Here is a 24,965-nt window from a genome sequence, read left to right on the forward strand (position 1 = left end):
TGGAAGCTTCTTTTCCTATGGGATGGCTGGTCACAATCATAGAGATGATCTTGGACCTAGAGGAAACAAGCTTGAACATGACAGAAGGTAGGCAGTGAGGAAGCGCTGGTCTGCCACCCAGGGTTTGCTGCCCTGTGTAAACTGCCCTCCCTGGAAAGGTGAGGAAGCTCTCCAGGACAAGACTGTTGTTGCCCCAGTGCCTCCTGCCGTGCCTGGAATAGAGCACAGGGCTACAAACAGGTGCTCCATAGACATTCACTAAGTAAATAAATTGTGAAAATACGTGGGCAAGAAAACATTTCAGAGGTCACATTGGTGCAAATTCTTAATTGACACCAGGTTAACAGCTTTCTCTGAATAGTACTTACATTAATAATAACAATGGTTACTATTTATTAAATACCTAGTGTCTGCCAAGCAAAGGGAGATATTATTTCCTTAAATCCCACAATAGTTCTACTAATAGGTAGACTCTCCCCAGTTAATAGCTGACAGCGCAGAGACTCATGGGCACAAATCTGAGAAACTTGCCTGAGGTTCACCCAACAAATTAGGATTCAAAGCCACTGCCTAGGAGGCCCTGATTATCCTCTTTCTGTTTCTCTGTGAGGCCCCTCTGTGCCCTGCTCACCTCCTGCTGGTCTCTGCTCCTGCCACAGCAGCGGGGAAACAGGAACCTTTAAAGAAGGCTGAGGTGCAGTTCCATCCCTCCTGGGGCGGGCAGTTGTGCATTCTTGCCATTTTTTTCCTCTTGCAAATAGGCTTGAAGTCAACGTAGAAAGGGCAATGCAAAAGCAGCCCCGTTCCAGATGTCTGCTTTGTCATACTTTAAAACACCCACCCATATTCAGGCCTGTCCATCCTTCATTCTGGCAGCCCTCCCCTCCCGCCTTGCCACCTGTCTCCATACACAGCTTTCCCTTTTCCTGTCCTTCCTCTTCTGATGGGTGTGAGGGCCAGATTTCACTTCACTAGAACAACCTTGCTACTAGTATTATTCTAGGGACAGGCCCTGGCACAAAATAAACACTCGATAAGTATGTGTTGAATTGCACTTTAAATTCTAGACAAAGGAGGAAAAAGCTTTGGATCCAGAAGAAAATAGAAAAGCTGGGAGTGGGGGTTAGGGTAACAATGAACTTGATCCTCTATCCCCTCTTTCCTCCCTCACTGCCTCCCTCCCTAAGCCCGGGCAGCAATGTACTTAGTATTACTGCTGTCATCTGATTACAGTAACATCCAAACAGATTGAAAAGCCCCAATCAATGCCAGAGCTGAAGTGCACACGCAGGGGGTTGTTCCCTTGGAAATGTTGCAGCTGTAATTACTCTCCAAAGAGAAAAATCTAAACAACTTTCTTGACCCTCTGGGGAGAGGAAGTAACAATTGAACTACAAGGGGCAGAAAGTCATTTCTGACGTACCGTGTGCGTGTGTGTGTGTGTATGTGTGGGTCCCCACCTTCGCAGTGTACTGTCCAGAGATCGTCTTTGACAGCCCTGCATTCAAACGCCGGGCTGTGGGTCGGCGGCGTGGTGCCTGCTGCTGCCGCCGCGGCAGCTGAGATCATGCTGTTGATCTTGTTTTACACAGAGCAGCCCAGCCTGTTGTGCCAGTACAGAATGTTCTCTTCTGTGAACTGAGTTTGAACTTTTCCAACCCACTTTGTTTGAGGAACCACACAGACAAAGAGGGAAAAGACAGGGAAGATAACCCCCAAATCGTTGAAATCGTGGTGATCTCTCGGATTTTGGCCTAGACCATTTGCTTTTTCGCTACTCAAAATTGACCATCCCAAGCATTACACTTCCTGAAAGAGCAAAGCGCCTGTGATGTCCGTTTTCTAAGACAGGACTTGGCATCAACTTTGGAAATTAACGAGTCTGTCACTGTCTCTCTTCAATTTCTTTTTTTCTTCTTAGGTGTTCAGGGAGTAACGGTAATAAAAGTTATTTTCCTTTAAAGGAAAGGTAAGGCCCCTTGTGCTGGTGACTTCTCTCTCAGTTGTTCAAGCTATTACAATATTCCAAATAGTGTTCCCAGTTTGCTGTTATAACTGGAAATAATTGATTGTAAGGATTTTGGGTCACTGGCCTCCATATAAATGACCAATGAGAAAAGCTGTTAATGCTTGGTAAAGTAAGGTGGTTGGAAATACCTTTTCAAAAACCATCCTCATATAGCAAGACCCCATCTCAAGCAACAACAAACAAACAAAACCCACAACTTTCAAGTTAGATGAGGTCCACAGGAAAAAACAACCAAAAAAACCAAAGCCATCTTCACCTAGTCATAGGGTTGAGTCTCCAGTTGTTTAGGGGGTTGCTTGGACGATCTGAGTGGGAGACCTTTATAGCATAGACAGAATGGTGCAATGCAGTGATTTTCCAATGTACTATTATTAGTTTTTAATGATAGTGGATTCCTTTCTTTGGAGTAAAATTCACCAAACACTCACTGGTGAAGCAGGAAGAGCACAACTTTGAAGTGTGAGCTGTGGATCTGAAGTGTGAGGTGTGGGTTTGAGTCTCCTTCTACTTAGGGGTGCTCCTGTGATACAGGGAAAGTCACATCTTCCGAGCTTGATTGGTGAAAGGAGCATAAGGCTTGTCTTGTATACTTGCAGAGTCATCCGTAAGTGTCCAGTGTTATGCTGTTGCACCAATGAGAGATTTTTCTCCTAAATTCTCAGTTCTACCACCTGCTTCATAGTTTGGGGCTGCTGTCTTATGGTTTTTGCTGACTGCTGGTAATAAGGAAATCTCTAGAAAGGAGTCCTTACTCTGAGATGGGGCTAGTTCCCAGAGATTCCCTGTGACTTTTTTCTTTTTCTTTTTTTTTTTTTGGGATGGAGTCTCACTCTGTCGCCCAGGCTGGAGTGCAGTGGCACGATCTTGGCTCACTGCAAGCTTCGCCTCCCAGGTTCGCACCATTCTCCTGCCTCAGCCTCCCGAGTAGCTGGGACTACAGGCGCCCACCACCATGCCTGGCTAATTTTTTGTATTTTTAGTAGAGGGTTTCACTGTGTTAGCCAGGATGGTCTCGATCTCCTGACCTCGTGATCCACCTGCCTCAGCCTCCCCCTGTGACTTTTGTTGTTGAAAAGTCACGTGTCAACATGCCATCAGAATATTAAATAGTTCATTCATTCTATAAATGCCCCCCTGAATGCTTGCTATGTTTAAGTTGGTGACTGGAATCTAGGGGTTGAGAGATGAGTAAGATATGTTGACTGCCTTCAAAGACTTTATTGTCCAGTGGGAGAGGCAGAAATACATACTCACACACATGATCCATAACATAGTATTTAAAATGCAAATGACATCTGGGCATGGTGGCTCACATCTGTAATCCCAGCACTTTAGGAGGCTGAGATGGGAGAATCACTTGAGCCTAGGAGTTCCAGACCAGCCTGGGGCAACATAGTGAGACCCCCATCTCTACAAAAAATAAAAAATATAATATTTATAATACAAAGGAGGTTGATACATGCTCAGTAGAGATACACATAATAAACTCTGATGGTAGAGGAACAGGATGAGGATTCTGATACGAAGTTGAGGCAAGAGTAAGCTAACAGTAAAGAAAGGAATTATAGTCTTTGTCGTTAATAGAATTGCATGGTATATTTGGGTAATGATAAGTAGTTCTTGTGGCTGAATGGTTGGTAGAGTTATGTGGGAAGAAGCAAAAAAAAAAAAATAGATTGAGCCTAGATCAGGGATACCCACGTCCCCCTGTTGTGCCCCTTGCTAACCTTTCTTCCTGAATTTGAATGAAGCCTCAGAATTCTTCTCAACATAGTTCTCAATGAATCAGTTGGGATTGGCACTTGGGATGGAATCATTTGTCATTCCTGACTTGGGAGTTAAATCCCATGCTTACATATTTTATTTATTTTGGTTATTCTTGGGAGTTATTGCATGTTATTAAGACCAGAATGATATGAGAGAATGACACGATTCAGTCTGTTTTGGTGAGGTAGCTGATGGCCATGGGAAGGATCCATGGGAAAGGTGAGAGGCTGGAAACAGGGAGACCACTAAGAAGATATACAAATCATCTGAAATAGTACGAGTGGGAGGGAAAAGTAGACTGGACAGATGAGGCACTGGGACAGATAAATGACTCAACTCAGCAATGACAGAGGGAGAAAGAAAACTTGACCATAACTGAATTTTCTCACCTGGGTGACTGGATATGGTTTGGATATCCAAACCGTATCTGCCCAAATCTCATGTCGAAATGTAATCCCCAGTGTTGGAGGTGGGTCCTGGTGGGAGGCAATTGGATCATGGGGTCGGATTTCTCAGGAATGGTTTAGTACGATCCTCTTGGTACGGTCTTCACAATAATGAGTGAGTCCTCACGAGATCTGGTCATTTAAAAGTGTGTGGCACCTCTTCCCTCTCTCTGGCACCCGCTCTGGCCGTGTGATGTGCCTGCTTCCCTTTTGCCTTCCACCATGATTGTTTAAGCTTCCTGAGGCTTTCCCAGAAGCCGAGCAGATGCCAGCATCATGTTTCCTGTACAGCCTGAAGAACTGTGAGCCAGTTAAACCTTTTATCTTTATAAATTGCCCAGTCTCAGGTATTTCTTTATAGCAGTGCAAGAACAGCCTAATACAGTGACTGCTAGGAGAGAGGAGCCAAGAGAAGGAATACAGGACCAGGGTCTTTTACTTCTCTTTTTATAAAGGGAAAATAATGAGTTGGGTTTCAGACAGGTTGAATTTGAGGGGTCTATGGGACATCCATGGGGAGAATTCTAGCCATCATTTGGAAATACATATCTGGAGTTAAAAGCCAAAGAGGTAGTTCAGGATTCAGTCACACAGAGGAACCAATGGAAGCCTTGGGAGTAAATGCTATCACCTAGGATGAGAGCCACACAGGGCATTTATAGGCCTGAAAAAGGACAGCCAGGTTAGACCTTGAGAGGTGCCTAATGAACACCAGAGGAAGAGAATCTGAAAACAATTCCTAACAATGTGGAGTGTCGTTAGTTAAATCCAGACCTCTACTTCTGTGTCTGATTCTTCTTTAACATAGAGCAATGACTCACCTCAATGTGGCCTGTTGGTGTTTGAGAATGAACAACACAGGTAGCTTTCTCCTGTACATCATTTATGGGAGTGTTTCTCAAGATCTCCTGATAGTTGACCATGACTCACAGTGAGAAATATACTTTATTTTGGGACCAACAACATACATGTCTATATAATTATTTAAAGCAAAGGGCTTCATGAAACAATATCTACCTGTATCTTCTGAAATTAATGCAGATATGTTCTGTTTTATTTTATTAAAAAAATGCTAGTCGGGTCCCACTAAGTTGGTATCACAACCACTAATGTGTTTCAAACCCGTAGTTTGAAAGACACTGGGTTGAGGGACTGTGGTTTCTGGAAGTCCACTCTCCCTCTAGTGGTCGATATCTTTCAGGACAGACTCAGCTCAGCCTGAGGATCAGTGGAGAGGACTTAACCCCATCTCCAAAGGCCTCCCTTATGTGTTGGGATTTTTAGCTTTGGGAGGAAGTTTAGGTGAGTCCTACCAACAGGTTTACTTGTGATGTTCCCAGATGCAAATAATAATAATAGACTTTTATTGAGTCAGGCCCATTATATACATTATTAACACAATTAGTTTTAATACTAAGCCTCTGAGGGAAGTTCAATTATACTTTCTTTTTGCGGATGAGAAATAGCAAGGCTAAGAGAAAGAACTTGCCCACGATCACACAGCCAGTAAACGGTGATGCTGACATTCAAACTCAATCAGTTGGTTTGCAGAATCCAGTGCTTAATGCTATTCAGAAAACGTTCTGAAGAGTTGGACAGTGAGCTGTATCTTCCTTGGTTCACCCATGCTTCTGTGCCATGCCTTGCTAAGAGACTTCTGTGTCATTTAGCAAGGCGTAGTCTTTGCACCGTATGCTTTAGACCCTCTCTATGTGTAGCTTCCTCAAGTTTGAAGTTTCTTGGATAATCAAATATCTGACATGCTATCATGTCAGGAGCCAGGACAGGCAGGAGAGAGAAAGAGTAATGGGCAGGCAGGGGCTGCTGAAAGGGCCTCTGAAGCTGGGCTGGAAAAGGCAGTCTGAAGGGATGGAGTTTAGACCCTCATTATCTCCACCTGGCAGCAGCTTCCCCACTGACACCCTGCCTCCGTGCTCACCCCTAAGAGTCCAGCCCCCTCCGTGTCTCCGCCAGGCTTATCTGTGCAAAGCAGCACTGTCATCATCACTCTCCTACTTCATGCTTCCTGCTGACACTGCAGCCTCATCTTGTCCCAAACTGAACTCTTCTCTCTTCCTTCAGTGCCAGCTTTTCCTTTCTGCCCCCTCCCAGCATCTACAGGATACAGTTCTGGGTCCTCAGATGGCCACCCCAGACTCATGGTGGGCCCTCCTACCTTCCTCCACTCCTCTCCCATTATTTGCCCACGTGAAGCCCAGCCTGGCAAGTTTTCTCTCTGTCCCTGGATTCATGGTACTTGTCTGATCTCAGTGCTATGCCCACATTGTGACTTTTCATGGAACGCATTCCCCTCCCCTTTTCTCCCCATCCTTCAAGACCCAGTTCAGGCCTTACCTCTTCCCTATGGCATCCCCTCATTCCTTCCTTTATTTTTGCATCTTTGCTTTTATAGTTTACATTGATCATATCACCAAATACTGTGGAATATTTAAATAGTTCATGTTTTATGCTCTCAACTAGATTCATTCATTGATTCATTTTAAAACTATTTATTCAATTGCCTATTAAGTTTTGGGCACAGGAAATTTAAGGAGAGTGAGGGTAAGAATAGGTGTCATAACTCCAGGATCCACAAAGTGGGCCAGCACCGTCAAGGCAGTGGAGAGCTGTTGTTTTTAACCCTTTATTTCCATTCTCCTGGGAAAACACCCTGATTTTCTTTTGGTTACTCTATTCTAAGTCTTAGTCCTTGTGGTATGAGCAGCGCTGACCTTTCCTCCTTGAATGAGAAGTGGGCATGAGGCCGAGGCCTGGCCCATGAGAGAACTGCATTCCCTGGTCACAGATGTTGGTTCACAGATGAGTCTGTGACTGTGGCTAGGCCAGTGAGAACTAGCCCTGGGCTCTTGCTAGAACTGCCTGGGCTGTTAAGCTGGTAGGATGTGATCCTGGAGCTCTGGCAATTATTATTCTTATTTTATTTTTTTGACACAGGGTCTCATCTGTTGTCCAGGCTGGAGTGCAGTGGTGCGGATCTCAGACCACTATAACCTCTGCCTCCCAGGCTCAAGTGATTCTCATGCCTCAGCCTCCTGAGTAGCTGAGATTACAGGTACATATCACCACACCCGGCTGATTTTTAAATTTTTAATAGAGATGGGAGTTTCATGTTGGCCAGGCTGATCTCAAACTCCTGACCTCAAGTGATTCACCTGTCTCGGCTTCCCAAAGTGCTGGGATTACAGGTGTGAGCCACTGTACCCAGTCTCTGGCAATTATTATTACCACCACTGGGAGAGGGCCTGCCTGAAGATGAAGCCAACATGGAAGAAATCCTGAGAGTAAGGGAATGGAAAGCAATTGATTCTGGATAACAGCTTTTGAGCACTTCAATCCAGCTAATACTATACCTTGAAGCCAATACATTCTCTTATGGGTTACATTGATTTCTGTTGAGCTTCTGTAAGTCACAGCTAAAAGAGTTCTAATTATTGCAGTGTGTGCTTCATGCTCTATAATTATCTGCATCTGACTTGAACCTGTTCCCCTGACCCCAACTAGCCTAGACTGATTCCCATCCCAATTGAGGTTGGGTTGAGGGGCAAGATTAAAATAAATCTGGCCAGGCATAGTGGCTCACACCTGTAATCCCAGCACTTTGGGAGGCCGAGGTGGGCAGATCACCTAAGGTCAGGATTTTGAAATCAGCCTGGCCAACATGGTGAAACCCCGTCTCTACTAAAAATACAAAATTAGCTGGGTGTGGTGGTGGGTGCCTGTAATCCCAGCTACTTGGGAGGCTGAGGCAGGAGAATCGCTTGAACCTGGGAGGTGGAGGTTGCAGTGAGCCGAGACCACACCATTGCACTCCAGCCTGGGCGACAAGAGCAAAACTCCATCGCAAAAATAAATAAATAAATAAAAAATAAAAAATAAAATGAGCCTGGGGATGGAGGGACGATGAAGAGAGGTTGGTTAATGGGTACAAACATACAGTCAGATAAAAGAAGTAAGTTCCAGTGTTTGATAACACAGTAGGGTGACTATAGTTAACAATAATTTATTGTGTATTACAAAATAGCTAGAAGATAAATGTTCCTAACACAAAGAATGATAAATACTTGAGGTGATGGATATCCTAAATACCTTGATTTGATCATTACATATTGTATGTATGTAACAAAATATCACATGTACCTCATCACTATGTACAATTATGTGTCAAAAAAATAGTTTTAAAGAAAAGATGAAAGTAAGTCAATGGCTTTAGCATGGCTCTGGTCACAGACAAGTGCTGTTTTTTTTCTCCGCATTGAATCCTTCCCACAGAGCCTGGGGCCTGGTGCTGATATCCTCTTAGCATTCGGGGTATACCTGGCACTCCTGTGCTGGCTCATGTCAGCCTTTTATATAAATAGCCTGTATTGCATCTCTGAAAAGAAGGACAGGGCGCAGTGGCTCATGCCTGTAATCCCAGTATTTTGGGAGGCTGAGGTGGGTGGATTGCTTGAGCCCAGGAGTTCCAGACCAGCCTGGGCAATATGACAAAACCCCGTCTCTACTAAAAACACAAAATTAGCCTGGCATGGTGGCGTGCACCTGTAATCTCAGCTACTCTGGAGGCTGAGGCACGAGAATCACTTGAACCTGGGAGGACGAGGTTGCAGTGAGCTGGGTGCGGGCCACTGCACTCCAGCCTGAGTGACAGAACCAGAGCAAGACTCGATCTGACAAAAAAAAAAGAGGATAGGATCCTCATATTGAGCAAGATTTATAGTAATGTGCTTATAAGCCTGTAGTGGGCTTATAAACAGTAAGTGGCTGTGGTTAGGTTACAACAGAGAAAGGAAAACTTACTGTAGTCTTCATTTTAATAATGCCTGTGCATGAGTAGTGGCTTCTGAGTGTGTGTTTTATTTATTCTCTGATAAATTCTTACAAATCAATTGGCATATATTTAATAAGTACCAGCTATAAATTAGAGACCAAACCTTTTTAGTCATTGCACAGCCCTAAGCAGTAGCTGCTTAATTCATATTTTTGGTAATTAATTATGCTTCGCAGCCCTCAAATTATTTAGAGATATGATCGAGCAGAGGGAGTACAAATTTTTGGTTTCCAGTAAAGTACTCATCTTCACCCCTGGTTCAAGGAATGACCCAATATTCCTAAGCTAGTGGTAGGAATATTTTCTTTCCCTCCAGCATTTAGTCTCAGATTCTTGGAATGTTGTCAGTCTCAGAAGTCAGAGGTTGGGGAACATTTGAAAATGCTGTTAACAGAACAGATTATGCCTTGAACTAAATCACTTGTATGCCTCACCTTAAACGTTCCTAGGCTGCCCGGGGTGACTTCTTGTGCCTGCATTTAGTCTCTGGCTCAGGCTACACGTGGACACACCCTTGGATTAGCCCCAAATTGGAGCTTCTCCAGTTGAAGGTGTCCCTCTTAAGTGCTTCTGCCTGGTGAATATTTGGAATATTTCAGGTGCCCTCTCTGGCCCCTTTTACTTAAATCTTTCTGTAATAAAATCATAATAAAATAACTTCAGTGACCTTCTGCTAAGGAGCCCTAGAAACAGCTCTGGTTAGAGGCACTTCCAGAAGTAAGACCAGCCACAGTTCTTTATGGGGGATGAGTTGGGAAGGGCCATCTTATCAGAGAATATGATTTAATTACAGCTGCTTAGGAGCGAGACTTCCCATTCTGGCTAGTTCCTATTAATAAAGCTTAGAATCCTGAGACAGAACAACACCTTCCTTCCCCCAGATATCTCAGGAATCATTAGACTTTAAAGATCCAGCAACAATTTTATTTTTCCTCTAGTTGGGAGTAGGGAAGTGTGGCACTCACCTTCCTTTCTCCACTGGGGTTCAGCAGACACTGATTTTATGGCAGACTCAAAGGCAGTGTTCTCAGCCTTGGGGCACACTAGAATAACCTGGGGGCTTGAAAAACTATTGAGGTCAGGTGCTCACCTCTCAAGATTTTGAATTACGTGGTCCGGGCTATAACCTGGCATCGGGATTTAAAAATCTTCCCAGGTATTTATAACGTGCTATAGTTGTTTGATCTGATCAGGTCCAGGAAAAGAAAAAAGCTAAATCCAGACTTTGCTTAAACAGATCATCATTGCCTAAAATTGTTTTTCTATATGCCAGAGAATATGGAATAATAAGAAATATGACTTTGTAATAAAGACAGCTGGAAAATTCTTTTGATTGTTTTTTATTGTAATTGGGGAGAGTAAAAATCTTGACTTTGGCTTGGCCTGGTGGCAACTGTAATTCCAGTGCTTTGGGAGATGGAGGTAGGAGGATTGCTTGAGGCCAGGAATTTGAGACCAGCCTGGGCAACATAGTGAGATCCTGCCTCTACAAAAAAGTTTTAAACATACCTCTGTCCTGTCAAGATATCTTCCCCAAAGTGAAGCAAGTTTGAAATGAGTGAACATCAGCAAGTACCACCATTCTCAAATTTCCCTGCCTCCCATACTGTCTACTTGGTTTTCCTGTTTTGTGTGAGGAGTTACTAGAGTTGTAGCATATTACAGTAGATAGGGAGTGTTGATATCCTTGATTGTGTTCTCTTCAATTTGCAGGCAAGGAACCGAGGCCCAAAGAGTTAGAGGATATGCCCAGGGTCACATGGTCAAGTAGTGGTTGTAATGACATTCTTGATTTTACCCAACACCTAGTCCCTATTTCTTTCTTTCTTTCTTTCTTTTTTCTTTTCCTTTTTTTTTTTTTTTTGAGATGGAGTTTCACTCTGTCACCCAGGCTGGAGTGCAATGGCGTGATCTCGGCTCACTGCAACCTCTGCCTCCCGAGTTCAAGCGATTCTCCTGCCTCAGCCTCCTGAGTAGCTGGGATTACAGGCGCATGCCACCACGCCCTGTTAATTTTTGTATTTTTAGTAGAGATGGGGTTTTTCCATGTTGGTCAGGCTAGTCTCAACTCCTGATCTCATGTGATCCACCCACCTCCACCTCGGACTGCCAAAATGCTGGGATTACAGGCATGAGCCACTGTGCCCGGCTCTCTAGTCCCTATTTCTTTCTTCTCAGCGGAATCTCAGTTTGGGGTTCTATTCCTCTTATTGTGACTCAGAAGAAGCTGACACCATTTGCAGCTCCAGTATAGATCTTGGTTAGTCTAAGCCAATGAATGAATGTCATTCTCCTGCCATCTGCTGTTGATCTAATGGTGAGTACATGACCCAAGATGGATCAGTCAGACTGAAGGGGACGACTTATTTCCCATGCTTGAAGGAGAAGATTCTTGTTCTGTCTCTTGCATAAACCTCCATTGCCACTGGGAGCCATCTTTTCACTGTCAGGGGTCCATCTGATGCAGGTGTCCAAGCACAATTAGAGCACCGCTCAATGTCTACTAAGTGAGGTGTAATTCTTAGTACATTACACAGTTGCCTCACAATGTCTAGCAGGCTAGGCTACTCCATTGGGCATCTGGGCAAAGCGGCGTTCCTTAACTTTTCCAGGCTGCTGAGGAGAGATGGTGATTAGCCATATCATGGCACTGAGGGAATTTCTGTGCGTTAGTCTTTGGCAATTAAACCTTATGCTGTTCCCCAGTGCTGTGAGTGGCATTGCCTGTATCTGCATAAGACTAGCAAGACAGAAGAAGAAGAAACTACCTGACTCAGCCAAGTGACAGACAATGCAATTTTAGTTGCCTGGTGACACTTTTAGTTGCAATGATGTACTTTTTGTTTCAACTTGAGCTGCTTAAATAATAAAATATTGGCTCAAGTAAATAAAAAGTACTGGAGTGTGTGCCTAAAACCAGAGGTTCAAATGATTTCACGTGTACCCTGTCTCTTGGCTTCCCTATCATCCACATTGCCTTTCTCGCATTCCACATGGGGGCAAGACGGCAGCCAATGACTCCAGACACACCTTCTTCCATGCCTAAGACCAATGGAAGAGAGTCGGGCCTCCCTCCTGTCTCAAGTACTGCAAGTGTCTCCTCACCCCTCATGGGCTCTGGTTGGATTGCATGCCCATTCCTGAACTAGCCATTATGGCAATGCTTTGAATTTCCAGGCCTCAATTGCCTGTCTCTCCCCAGGCTGAAGAACATAAACGGAGATCGGCAGCATGTCCCCAGAGGAAAATCACTGTTCTGTTACCGAGGAGACAGGAAAATAGGCTCTGGCTGTCCAAGCTGATATACCTAGAAGCTTTTCTGAATGTGTAGTTTTTTTTTGTTGTTGTTGTTGTTTGTTTGTCTTGTGCAAAGAGCAGGGAATTTGCAATCAGAAGACTGAGATTTCAGTCCCAACTATCTGAGTCTCAGCTCCACAATTTTTAAATGGGAAAGGCTATCTTTACCCAGTTTGAACCTGGTATTGCTCTGAGGCTTGAATGAGATTCTGGATAGGAAAGTGTTATTTAAAATGATAAGGGCTAAACAAAAAAGAGGGATTGTTGTTATTACTATTATCATCTTTTCTGAGTTTCTCCCACTCATACTTTGGCTATGTGCAAGGTTCTCTTAGGCAAGACATGAAGATTAAATGCAGCTAGGCACAATAGCTCGTGTCTGTAATCCTAGAACTTTAGGAGGCTGAGGCGGGCAAATCACTTGAGCTTAGGAGTTCGAGACCAGCCTGGGCAACAAGGCACAAGAATTGCTTGAGCACAGGAAGTGGAGTTTGCAGCGAGCTGTGATCTCACCACTGCACTCAGCCTGGGTGACAAAGTGAGACTCTGTGGCAAAAAATCAAAAACAAACAAACAAATTAGTCAGGCATGGTGGCATGCACTTTTAGTCCCAGCTACTTGGGGGGCTGAGGTGGGAGGATGGCTTGAGCCTGGGAGTTTGCAGTGAGGTGAGACTGCACCACTGCACACACCCACCTGGGTGACAGAGGGAGCCTCGGTCTCAAAGAGTAAATGCATTATTAGCAATTAGGAAGACTTTGGCCAGTGTTGCTGTTAGCACAGATAGCAGCTTTCTTACAATCAGAAATAGACCTCTCCTTCCACCTCTAGGCAGTGCAGTCCCCAGGGAACATGGTTTGCCAAGTGGATAGCATCATTGTGCAAATAAAAAGTCATCCCTTCCTCTAGGCAGACCCACCTGCATGCTAGGGCACACAGCATTGTGATTGGAGTGCATGCTGGATTCCAATTGTTGCTACCCTTTTTGCAGGAAAGTGGGGCAGTTGGGAGAGGGGGGCTCTGTGCAGTGTACAACCTGCACAGCTCTGTACTCGGGGCCCTTACTTTGGTGGTAAATCACTGGGCAGACTGAACTCTGGAAGGCTTACTCCTCATTTTCCTGGCAAAGTGCAGCTACCCCTCTAAGACCAATGATCACTTTGCCTTTTTTGAGCCTTTTCACTTCATGCTGAATGCAGCAGTCTGTGCTGTCTTTCTTAGTTAACCACCCACTAGTGATCCAGATTCTGCTGGTCTTTTCAGATGTTCACCTGCATACCGTTCCAACCACAAGGAAGAATTCTTCCTTTTTAACTGTCCTCATGAGTGATTTTGCAGAGGACAGTTAACCCTTTAAGATAAATGCAATGCGTTGGTTGACTACAATTGGCTGTTGTTGGAAAGTCGGATGCTGATTTCTCCAAAGTGCCTGGGTAGAAGGGCTGAAAAGCACAGGCAGCTTCACCTCAACTGACCACCACTGTTTGCTATTCTAAATCTTCTTGGCAACAGCAACTCCGGAAAGAAATTATTTGAACTAGATCCAGCCAGCCTCCAGGGATCCCAGGATGCAATACGGTAGCCTTTATTTTACTATGACGGGAAGTCTTCCTATTCTTAAAAGATTAGCCTGCTCTTTAGTGAAAGATGGATAGTTAGAGTCAACAGGCGCTTGCGGGGTTGTGTTGTGATCGAGTTGCCCCTTGACTTCATCCTTGGAATCTTTTGAGTCATCTGAAACGCATAGCTCTGATGGAAACTTTTTAACATAATTTTAGCCAGGATTAACCAGTCACCATGACCTCAGTGATGTGGCTTGGGTGATCTGGGTCTCAGTTTAAGGCATGCTCAGGTCTCTTTTGCTTAGAAAACACCTTTGCACCGTAGCACACACGTGTAATCCCAGCACTTTGGGAGGCCGAGGCGGGCGGATCGAGACCATCCTGGCCAACATGGTGAAACCCCATCTCTACTAAAAATACAAAAACTAGCCGGATGTGGCGGCATGTGCCTGTAGTCCCAACTACTCAGGAGACTGAGGCAGAAGAATTTCTTAAACCCGGGAGGTGGAGGTTGCAGTGAGCCAAGATCGTGCCACTGCACTCCAGCCTGGCAACAGAGTGAGACTCTGTCTCGAAAAAAAAAAAAAAAGAAAAAACACCTTTGCTTGACACTACTGTTTTTACCTTGTATCTCTTCTTTAGACAGAAAAATGCTTGCTGCCTTAGCATCCATTTCCTCACTATCTACCTGCTTTCACTTCCTCCAAGTTGGTTGGTTTTTCTGTTTGTCCTCTTCTTCCCACAGATCCATTCTCGGCCCTTCTCTGGCCCCACTGGGCTCCCTTGCCCTTAGGTTACTGATAGGCTTCCCCAGTGGAAGACAGAGCAGAAGACTGGAAGGTGAGAGGGCAGTTGGATGAGGTGTTTGCTGCCTCTGATCCCCCAACGCAGCCTCATGAAGGGTTTGGCAGAGGCTGAGAGGCTGTGTTCCTCTATAGCCCTGATCCTGGTGGGGACAGGTTCGTCTATGGCTCCAGAATCACCACCCCTTGTCTTGGCTTTTCAGGCACAGAGATGGAAACAGCTTCCTGTGATTGTGTATCATGATCTCTTGCTGGTTTTCTTAATGCAGTCTACGCCCTATATAGTCCCTTCATTAAATTCAACCCTTTTGAGTGTCCATCTGTTTCCTGCCAGGATGCTAACTGAGGCAGCATGCGTCCAAAATAGCTCCCTGGAGGGTCGTCAGGACATCCGGAATGGGTACCCGTGAAAACTTCCCAGCCCTTTTCCTCTTTAGCCACTTCTGCTCAGATTACTTCCTCTTTGTCCTCTCCTGTTACTTAGCCTTTGAGATGCTGTTTCACCCTCCTAGCCTTCAACCTTTTCACTCATTCTCTGACAAGAACTATTATAAATCATCCTTTTATTTCCATTCCATCCTTCTCAGGTACATCACCCATAAACGAAAAGAATCTTCCTAAAACACCTGGAACCAATTCCTGGAGTAATCTCAGCTTGGCAGAGGTAGGTTCTGGATAGTCTCCATTTGCCCTCTTGAGGCACTCTTCATTCTTCTCCACTATGTTCTGAGCCTTGAGAGACAGACCTTTATGGATGCATCAAAGGGCTCCCTTGCTCTCTAATTACCTGTTGGTTCAGCCAGTTAGGAAGCACTGGAAGGAAACCAGAGGGCAAGGGGAAGATGCAGTTGGGGTATTGCCCAACCAGATGGGTAGTGGGTTGGTAGTGGCCACGTTTCTTGCCTGTAGACCACAGGTCCTTCCCTAGAGCTACCACCACTTTCTCGCTTTCCCTGCTGTTGCTAGCCCTGTGGGCTCTCCTCAACCTGCCCACCACTTTGTAAATAGTCCTGCCCTCTTAAACTCTTCTGAATTACCTCCATGTGAGGGTGTGATCCATCGGCTTTCTGTTGGGATCATGACAGGTCTTGGGGACTCAATCAGAGCTTTCAGTCAAGATCTGTAGACTCTCCCTTTCCTCTCACTTTGGGAGCTCCCACGGCTTTCTAGTCACTCCTATTACAACTTAGTCTAGTTGGGCTGAAAATTTAATCTCATATCTGATTTAATTCTCTCTGCTCAAGGGTAGGGATCTGAGGAGGAGAGCATGATGTAATCTTTCACTTCCTGCTCCCTCTACCAGGCATCTTTTTTTGTGCCTCGTACAAAAAAAGGAGGAGAAAGGAAAGAGACACGTCTCTCTTTTCATAATGAGCTGCTGAAGCAGTTTTGTCTTTCTTGTTTTCTAATGTCTTTGGCTAAGAGTGAGGGCTCATTAAGTCTATCTAGGAGGCAGGAGTCCAAATGCTAATTGTTCCAGGTTGGGTTGTGAGCTAGGTAATGCTGTGCTCACAACCTCCAAATTTGAAGTACTTAGTGCAACAAAGGCTTACTTCTCTCTCACGCTACGTGTCCACTGCACGTATTACCGTATCAGGGACTCAGGCTCATGGGACATCGGCCATCTTTAACATTGCCAGACTCTGTACCAGAGGGAACAAGAGCTCACAGAAGATCTTGTATCGGGGCCAGAGTGACTTATACTTGCATCTTGTTGGCTAGAACTAGTCATGTGGCCTCACTCACCCAGAAAGGCACCAGGAAGTACAATCTTACTGTGTACCTAGAGACCCTAGAGATAGGGTCTTGCTATGTTGCTCAGGCTGGTTTTGAACTTCTGGGCTTAAGCAATCCTTCTGCCTTGCATACTAAGGTGCTAGGATTTTAGGTGTGCACCACTGTGCCCAGCTACCAGCTACTGTTTTCTTAAAAGACAATTATTGTGGTAAATTACACTTAACATTAAATTGCCAATTTAATTATTTTAGAGTGCACAATTCAGTGGCATTTAGTACAATCACTGTGTTGTGCAGCCATCACTGCTATTTTGTTCCAGACCATTTTCATCATCTTAAAAGGAAACCCCTCCATGAAGCAGTCACCCCCCATCCTCCCACTTGCTCTAGCCCCTGGCAATCACTAATTTGCTTTCTATCTCTATGAATTTGCTTATTCTGAATATTTCATATAAATGGAATCATACAATATGTAGTCTTTTTTATCTTTAAGCCCAGCTATTTTTTCCAAGTTGTCCTCCTGACCCACAGGAAGCTGACACAATATTGTACCAAGTGGTGGCAACATAGGTTCTCCCAGGTCCCCTCTCTCTCCACCTGTTGTCACTCTTATTTCATTTTTCCTGGCTCAGAAGGAGATAAACACCTGCTGCCTAAGCAGGGAATGGATTTCCTGCCTCTCCTCTTTCAGGTTCCTCGATCTCCATGTGTGCGTCTCCTGGAGTCCTTGTCAACACCAGGGGAAAGAGGGTGTATATCCCTGGCTGCCCAAAGGAGGAAAAGCCACTATGTTTTCCCAGGCTCATCTCTTCTGACTCTCTGACCCCTGCCCAGCAGAAGTGCTCATATAGTTTGAGGTGGTGGCATTCTAATGGGACCCATCAATAAACCACAGGGGCATGTGGCATCTGGCCCCATATTTTTTGTCTTTTTGAAAGAGGGTATCACTCTGTTGCCCAGGTTAGAGTGCAGTGGTGTGATTATAGCTCACTGCAGCCTCCAACTCCTAAGCTTAAGCAATCCTCTCACCTCAGCCTCCCCAGTTGCTAGGATTACAGGCATGTGCCACCATGCCTAGATAATTTTATTTTATTTTTTTGTAGAGACAGGATCTTGCTGTGTTGCCCAGGCTGGTCTTGAACTCCTGGGCTCAAGCTGTCCTCTTGCTTCAGGCTTGCAGAGCACTGGGATTACAGGGATGGCCCAAAGTGCAGGGTCTGGCCCCACTTTTTTTTCACCCCTTGTGTTCTTCAGCAACTGCTGTTTTCAGCCATGGGCCAAGTACTAATTGTGCTAAAACAAGAAAGGTCTTTTTGTTGTTGTTGTTGTTTTTTTTTTTTTTTTTTTTTTTTGTGAGATGGAGTCTTGCTCCTATCACCCATGCTGGAGTGATGGCATGATCTCAGCTCACTGCAACCTCTGCCTCCTGGGTTCAAGCAATTCTCCTGCCTCAGCCTCCCAAGTAGCTGTGATTACAGGCATGCACCACCACACCCAGCTAATTTTGTATTTTTAGTAGAGACAGGGTTTCACCATGTTGATCAGGATGGTCTCAAACTACTGACCTCAGGTGATCCACCTACCTACGTCTCCCAAAGTGCTGGGATTACTGGTGTGAACCACCGTGCCTGGCCAAGAAAGGTCTTTTGATACTTTCTTACACATTCTGATAGTGTTCCTCCTCGGTTTAACAACTTTCCATGTCTCTCTATTATGAATGAGATAAATTCCAAACTCTGGTCTTAGCATTCAAGGCCCTCTTTACACTGGCTCCAATTGAGTTTTCTAGTTTTCTCTCTCTAGCTTTCCTTTCAGGCTGGCCAGCACACTCACTGGCCCCAACAAGGCCTTGAACAATTTCGGTTGGGGTTCTTTACTCATCCACACTGACCTGGGGTGCTCCTTCTGTCTTCCTACCTCTCCTCCCAGCCTCCCTGGGTTCCCAGCCTCCTCTGCCCTTGGAACTCCGCAGCCTGGTCTGCACCTGTTGGTGGCATCCAATGTTTATGTCTCATTTTGTGCTGGGGTGGGGTGAGTAGCTGAATGTCCCACTGATTGCAGCCAGCATGAAGGTTCACCGGCCCACCCCTCACCCCATGTGTCATCAGTAACGGAAGCTAGCAGAGCCAGGCAGAAGCAGGCTTGGCATACAGAATCCAAATATTTTCCTGATTGGTGATGAGGTATTAGGAATATGTGAAGAAGTGACTGTGGATAACTCAGCCATCTTCCAGGGACAGCTGCCCAGCTCATACTAGGATGGGGATTGGGAAGAGATGATCATAAATTGTCTGCTAGAGGTTCTTTGAGGTTGACCCAGAGGTACATTCTGTTATTGCCAAGTTTGGATGGAGGGGTAAGAAAAAGGCAGAGCAGAGAGGGAGCAAGAAAGGCAAACTGGGGAGGGAAGATGAGACAGAAATAAAGAGAAAAAGGCAGGTCAATGTGGGGAGGAGGAAACTGGAGGGGGATGGATTTGGGGATCCTAAATCTCGCTTTTCTCAAAGGAGAAAACCCTGTAGAGTGGCTTCTACTATTTCTATGCTTGCTTTCTACTCCAGGCAGGATATACAGCCCCCATGCTGCCCAATGCCCCAAGTTGCCTGCGTTGATTGATCAAAAAGCAGCTCTAGGCCGAGGTGATCTTCCTTGGTAATCTCATCTCTGTGCTGTGCATGCTTTTCTTTCTGTGTTTTTGATTTAGTTTGTTTCAGTGGGAAGGGCTGATTTACACCTTGAAGGAATTATTCTGAGTCTTAGAGAAATAACCAAAAGGAAAGAGCTAAAGAGCGGCTGCCACATCCCAAGTGCCTGACCTTTGTCAGGGTGGCCTAGAGTCACATTTTGTAGCAGAAGTTCCCTTTGGGCATGCAGCCACCTGGAAGTGGGCATGTCTCCTTTTAGGGTCCCCAACTAGGCCTCTCTAAATCAGGCCAGGCTAGCAGCATTCTGTTTTGAGGCATTTTGACTTTTACAAATCTGTAGCTCCCTTAAAAGCAAAGGCAGATGCTGCAGAAAGTCCTGACCCTTGGGCTTCTCTAAGGCCTGTGGTTTGACTTGCATTAAGGTGAGGGTGGCCTGCTGGCCCCGTCTCTGCACTCATTCCCATTCATGAGCACTCCTCACCTGGCCTACTGTAGCAAATTTCCAAGAAGTGTTCTTGCCTTTATACTCTCCCGTCTACTTCATTCTATGTGCAGCTGCTGGGTTAGTTCTGTTAAAGATCCCCTCTTATCTTGTTCCTTCACTTAAAAATCATCACTGGCTCCCATTGCTCATGAAATAACTAGTTTGTGCAATCAAGTTTCTCTGCTTACTCCAGAAGGTACAAACCCCATATACTCTTCCATTCTTCCCTGAGGGCAGGCTGGGGAGCTGGGGAGAAGTGAAGGACCACATGCTGGGGCCCTGAGAATCTACGCATATCCCATTCCCAGTTCCAGAGGGTACCACTTGGGTTGCTGGTGCTGAGACAATCCTGTTTTTTTGGCATCCTTTATACTCGGGGTTCCCTCTTTTTGCAGGCTTTCCATCAAGCCTTTTAACAATGTTTACTTATATGTTGTGGTAAAGGGAGGCTCTAGATGATAACAGTAAGTTTGCAAATAACAGTAAACCAGTGATTCTTGGCCTGCATGCTATCACATCCCTCCTCCCATATCCATGGCAGATGTGCTGAATCCGTTTTTGCCCACTGAGCCCAGCTGAGGCCTCAGCCTTTTCAACACTACTCCAGGCAGTCATTCCAATCAATCGAATTTGTCCAGTGAGATAAAATCTATTTGTTATCCCTGTACTCTACTCTTTCAGGGTGTGAAGCATCAGACCTTGTTGTTTGATGGATTTAAGATTGGATATAAGAAGACATGGACAGACCCTTGAAGTCGACCCAGAAGTGGCAGGAGAGCTCACAAATTTTGAGATAATCATATTTTGAGATTTAACCAAAGTTTCTCTGCTTCTGCCCCTAACCTGTCCCTGAATCCAGACTAAAGACATTCTGCTTTTATTCTCTAGATGAATGAATGACTTAGCAAAAATGCAGAGAGAAAGCTAAGAGTCTAAACAGACTTTGAAACTGCTGGTGGAGATGGGAATTTGAGAAAAAAAAGAAAAGCTTTTGAGGTTCAAAAGCTTAAGTTTTGGAGTTTCAAAAGCATGCCTCCTAAGGGGATTCAGGGCATAGAGAATATGTGATGAGTAGAATGAAGAACAAAAACAGGCAAACACTGAAAAGTACCCTAGAGTGGAGTTGGAGGGGGAGAAAAAATATTGGTTCCTGTGCCCTGAACGTCCCTGGGCCAAGTCTGCGTGAGGAACAATGGAGCCCCAGGTAGGCTGGGGAAACTGAGGCACAAGGGACATGATAGTGGCGTGGATGGGACACAGGAGACTGTGGCCATGAAGAGGAACTGGAATAACATAGCAGAGGACCAGTATGGAGGTGACATGAAGGACCTGGTAGACCCTGCCCCTGACATCTTGGGAGCCCTGAGGAAATGGAAATCTACAGGCATCCTGAATTTACTGAGATTAAATTTCTTCCATTGAGCAGAATGGGAGCTGAAAAGGGCACACTTCAGCTGATATTTGTACACATGACACATAGAAAGACATCATGCAAACTATGATTATGAGGTGACACTTTTGTTCTCTTGAGACAGGGTCTCACTTTGTCTCTCAGGCTGCAGTGCGGTGGTATGATCACAGCTCACTATAGCCTCGAACTCCTGGACTCAAGCTATCCTCCCACCTCAGCCATGCCACCATGCCCAGCTAATGTTTGATTTTGTAAAGACAAGGTTTTGCCATGTTGCCAAGGCTGGTCTCAAACTCCTGGGCTCAAGCAATTCACATACCTCGGCCTCCTAAAGTTCTGGGATTACAGGTGTGAGCCACTGCACCTGGCCTGAAGTGACACTTTCTAGGTCTTTGTCGTGGCCTGGCAAGTATATTGTTGGTATACACCTTTTCTTAGGAAGCATCCAGCTCACTGCAAGGGTCCCCTGTATCTGGAATTCTGGGTGTAGATCTGGTCACTGCCCTTCAAGAAGGACCTGCTGTCTCTGGAGAAGGTTCAAAGATGGCTAGAACTGAGAGAAGCAGGAAAATTGGGGGGCAGTGCTGATACACAGCACAGCTGTGAGATTATGACCGTGGCTGAGAATGAACAAAGCTGTAAGGGATTTAATCAGAGTTGTCAAGGGTGAGGGCTGGGCCCCATGGATTGCTCTTGAAGCCCTGGAGCACTATAAATACATAAACTAGGCCTACTGCAAATGAGGTTGGAGGGAAGAAAAGATATTCCAGTTCACAGAAGATAATATACCTCTAGGACTGTTAACCCTTTAGCAGTATACAGGTTAGAAATATAAATATTTTTTAAAAATGGATTAGATTGGGGCTTCCTGAGCTTGAGATTATTGGCTGTATGGGATCGATACTTCTTTATTGTGGAAGGCTGTCCTGTGCATTGTAAGATGTTTAGCAACATTCCTGGCTTCTACACATTAGATTATGGTAGCATCTCAGCCCCTGCCCTGACCACAGCTGTGATAACTGAATATATATTCAGATACTGCCATGTGTCTCCTGGGGGGCAAAATCACCCCTAATTGAGAGCCCTTGTGTTAATATAATGTTCCCAAAGGATGGATTACACAATAGAATCATGCAAATAGAAAGTGGGGCCTGTACTCTGGAAATACTGCGTTAAAACAAGCTAAACAGAGCATTTTATTTTTAGGACCGCTCAGGTCTGCAACATGCCAAATGCCATGGACTGAATGTGTCTTCTCCAAATTCCTATGTTGAAGTCCTAACCCCCAAGGTCATGGTATTAAAAGATGGGGCTTTCATAGGTGATTAGGTCATGGGGGCATAACCCTCAGAATTGGGATTAGTGCTCTTATCATAGAGGCCCCAGAGAGCTCATTTGCTCCTTTTACCATGTGGGGGCACAGCCAAAAGACAGCGGTTTATGAACCAGAAAGCTGGCCCTCACCAGACACCTAATCTGCTGGTAACTTGATCTCGGACTTCCCATTCTCCAGAACTGTGAGAAATAATTTCTGTTGTTTAGAAGCCCGGTAGTCTGTGGTATTTTGTTATATTAGCCTGGATGAAGTAAAACAGCCAGTGTACACTTTAAATCTCTGAGAGGGAACATATGGGATTAGCATGCATTGAATATGCTCTGGGCATTGCTACATTAGATACATTCATGGACTATAAAACATTAGAGTTAATAGTAATGAAAATGTCATTAGTGCTTTACAGATGAAGTGTCTGCCAAATAGACTTGTTTTTTCCTTATTACAATCCTCCAAGGTAGATATAATTATTTCTTCTTATAGATGAGAAAACTGGGACTCAGAGAATTAAAATATTTGCCCATGGCAACGCAGCCAACAGATGGGGAGACTGGGACATGAACTGGTTTTAGATTCTCAGTTCTATGTTCTTCATAGGGTTCTGTGCTGCCCCTTGGGTGTGCTCTCAGAATTTGAAATTGATGCTGGGCCAGAATCAAAGTATATCCTCTTTCTTGGTGACACGGACTCTTTTATATTTAAAGGTCTCTGGAGAGACATTGTTAGCTGGGTCTGTATTACATGGGCTAATAGAAGGCTTGATGAAAAAATATAGACTATCTTCAGCATGGTGGAAGATAAAATTAATTCTAATTTTTTTTTTTTTTTTTAAACAGAGTTTCACTCTGTTGCCCAGGCTGGAGTGTAGAGGTGCGATCTTGGCTCACTGCAACCTCCCCCTCCTGGGTTCAAGCGATTCTTATGCCTCAGCCTCCTGAGTAGCTGAGATTACCAGCATGTGCCACCATGTTGGGCTAATTTTTTGTATTTTTAATAGAGATGGGGTTTTGCCATGTTGCCGAGACTGGTCTTGAACTCCTGAGCTAAGGCAATCTGCCTGCCTCAGCCTCCCAAAGTGCTAGGATTATAGGTGTGAGCTACCACGCCTGGCCATAATTCTAATTTTTTAACTAAATCTTTTTTTGTCTTTTCTAAAAATGAGAATTATGTAACTGTGTTGCTTAATATTTTTCCTTGGTTGCCAGGAAGCTCAGATCTAAATTTTTCATCTTGTCTGACAGTTTTGTGGCCCTTTCCCTTGGTTTTGTTGTTTATTGTATGTACTTTTACAGGATTTGTATGTTGTCTCAAACTCTTGGCAGATAAAAGGGATGTATAAATACCTATAACTGATAAATGAAAACTTTCCAAAATATTCACCCCTTAGAAACAAAACACCACTGGCACAGTGCTTAAAAATGGTTCTATCTGGTTTTATTTCCTAATGATACTGGAACATTCACATATGTATAAGCTGAAGCTAGGTGAATGATAAATAGACATCTATAGAGGATAATTTATTATTTTAAAAAATTAATTAAACTGATATTCAAGGAGTGTTCTGGGTTTTCAAAGCCCTCACCTAAACATTGTTTTATTTGTTCTTGTCAACTGCCCTGTCTGAGTGCTGGAGCAGGTATTACTGATTACTGTTTTCATTTGACTGCTGGTAAGTAAATGCAGGCTCAAATATTTTGGGTGACTTATTTTTGCTTTCTAATGTTATTGGCCCAGACTAGCTAGTGGAAGAGTTTAGAAATAGATCTGAATCTTTCACTTCCAGATGGGATGTTGGACCTGAGTGGGGTGGTAAATCTGTGGTACATGTACTGAAGCGTCCTGTCCCCCCCAACTCCCGGGTCCAAGAAGTGCCAGTAGCATCTCTAATTGATCTACATTATCTTTTCCCATTGAGCCCAACCGTAGCCAGAGTCCAAAACACAGTGCTCCAGACATACATCCTCAATTACATAACAAAACCCATACTAGAACTAGATTTTTTAAAAGGATTCCATTAAACTCAACAATTCTCAAATTATATGACTGTATACTAGTAGAAACCTGAGATCATTGAACACAATGAATCTTGTCTGTAGCATCTGTGTGGCAATTTAAAAAGTAGTGGATAGGTCATTTGGGGATAATCTTCATTGTTCTCATTTGTTCATTCCAGCCGGGTGTGGTAGTGCACACCTGTAGTCCCAGCTCCTCAGGAGGCTGAAGTAGGATCACCTGAGCCCAGGAGTTCAAGGTTGTAGTGTGCTATCACTGTACCTGTAAATAGTCACTGCACTCCAGCATGGGCAACATAACGAGAACCCATCTCTAAAAAAGAGAAAAATTCATTCCAGTTTGGATGACACTATCTTAAACGAGTCATTACTAATAGATACTAAAAACAGAATTCGCAAAACATTTACAGCAAATATTATACCTTTAAAAATTCTCCTGCCAGGTGCGGTGGCTCACGCCTGTAATCCCAGCACTTTGGGAGGCCAAGGTGGGTGGATCACGAAGTCAAGAGATCGAGACCATCCTGTCCAACATGGTGAAACCCCGTCTCTACTAAAAATACAAAAAGTTAGCAGGGCGTGGTGGTGCAT

The 24,965-nt window shown here is 44.6% G+C and overlaps 1 long non-coding RNA gene across 4 annotated transcripts in view, besides 1 other annotated feature; it reads left to right on the forward strand.

The window, feature by feature from the left end:
- KLF9-DT (KLF9 divergent transcript) overlaps positions 1 to 24,965 on the forward strand; it is a 136,304-nt gene that overhangs the window by 65,104 nt on the left and 46,235 nt on the right. Inside the window, exons 4-5 of one of the 4 annotated variants that reach the window (XR_001746708.3) lie at positions 15,341 to 15,417; positions 20,300 to 21,198. The exons of 2 other annotated variants lie outside the window; for them this stretch is intronic. This is a non-coding gene — a long non-coding RNA (KLF9 divergent transcript). Of the gene's footprint in view, positions 1 to 15,340; positions 15,418 to 20,299; positions 21,199 to 24,965 lie in introns of those variants that run through there. One more of the 4 variants, XR_001746707.3, reaches the window with a different exon arrangement.
- Positions 6,080 to 6,386: an enhancer, noted in NCBI's record as "KLF9-I DHS fragment used in reporter constructs". NCBI's record gives its function as "activates the minP and KLF9 promoters by reporter assays in K562 erythroleukemia cells {active_cell/tissue: K562}" and the evidence as "EXISTENCE:reporter gene assay evidence [ECO:0000049][PMID:23985037]".

The sequence above is a fragment of the Homo sapiens genome, chromosome 9, assembly GCF_000001405.40.
Source record: "Homo sapiens chromosome 9, GRCh38.p14 Primary Assembly".
Taxonomy (NCBI): Eukaryota; Metazoa; Chordata; class Mammalia; order Primates; family Hominidae; genus Homo; species Homo sapiens.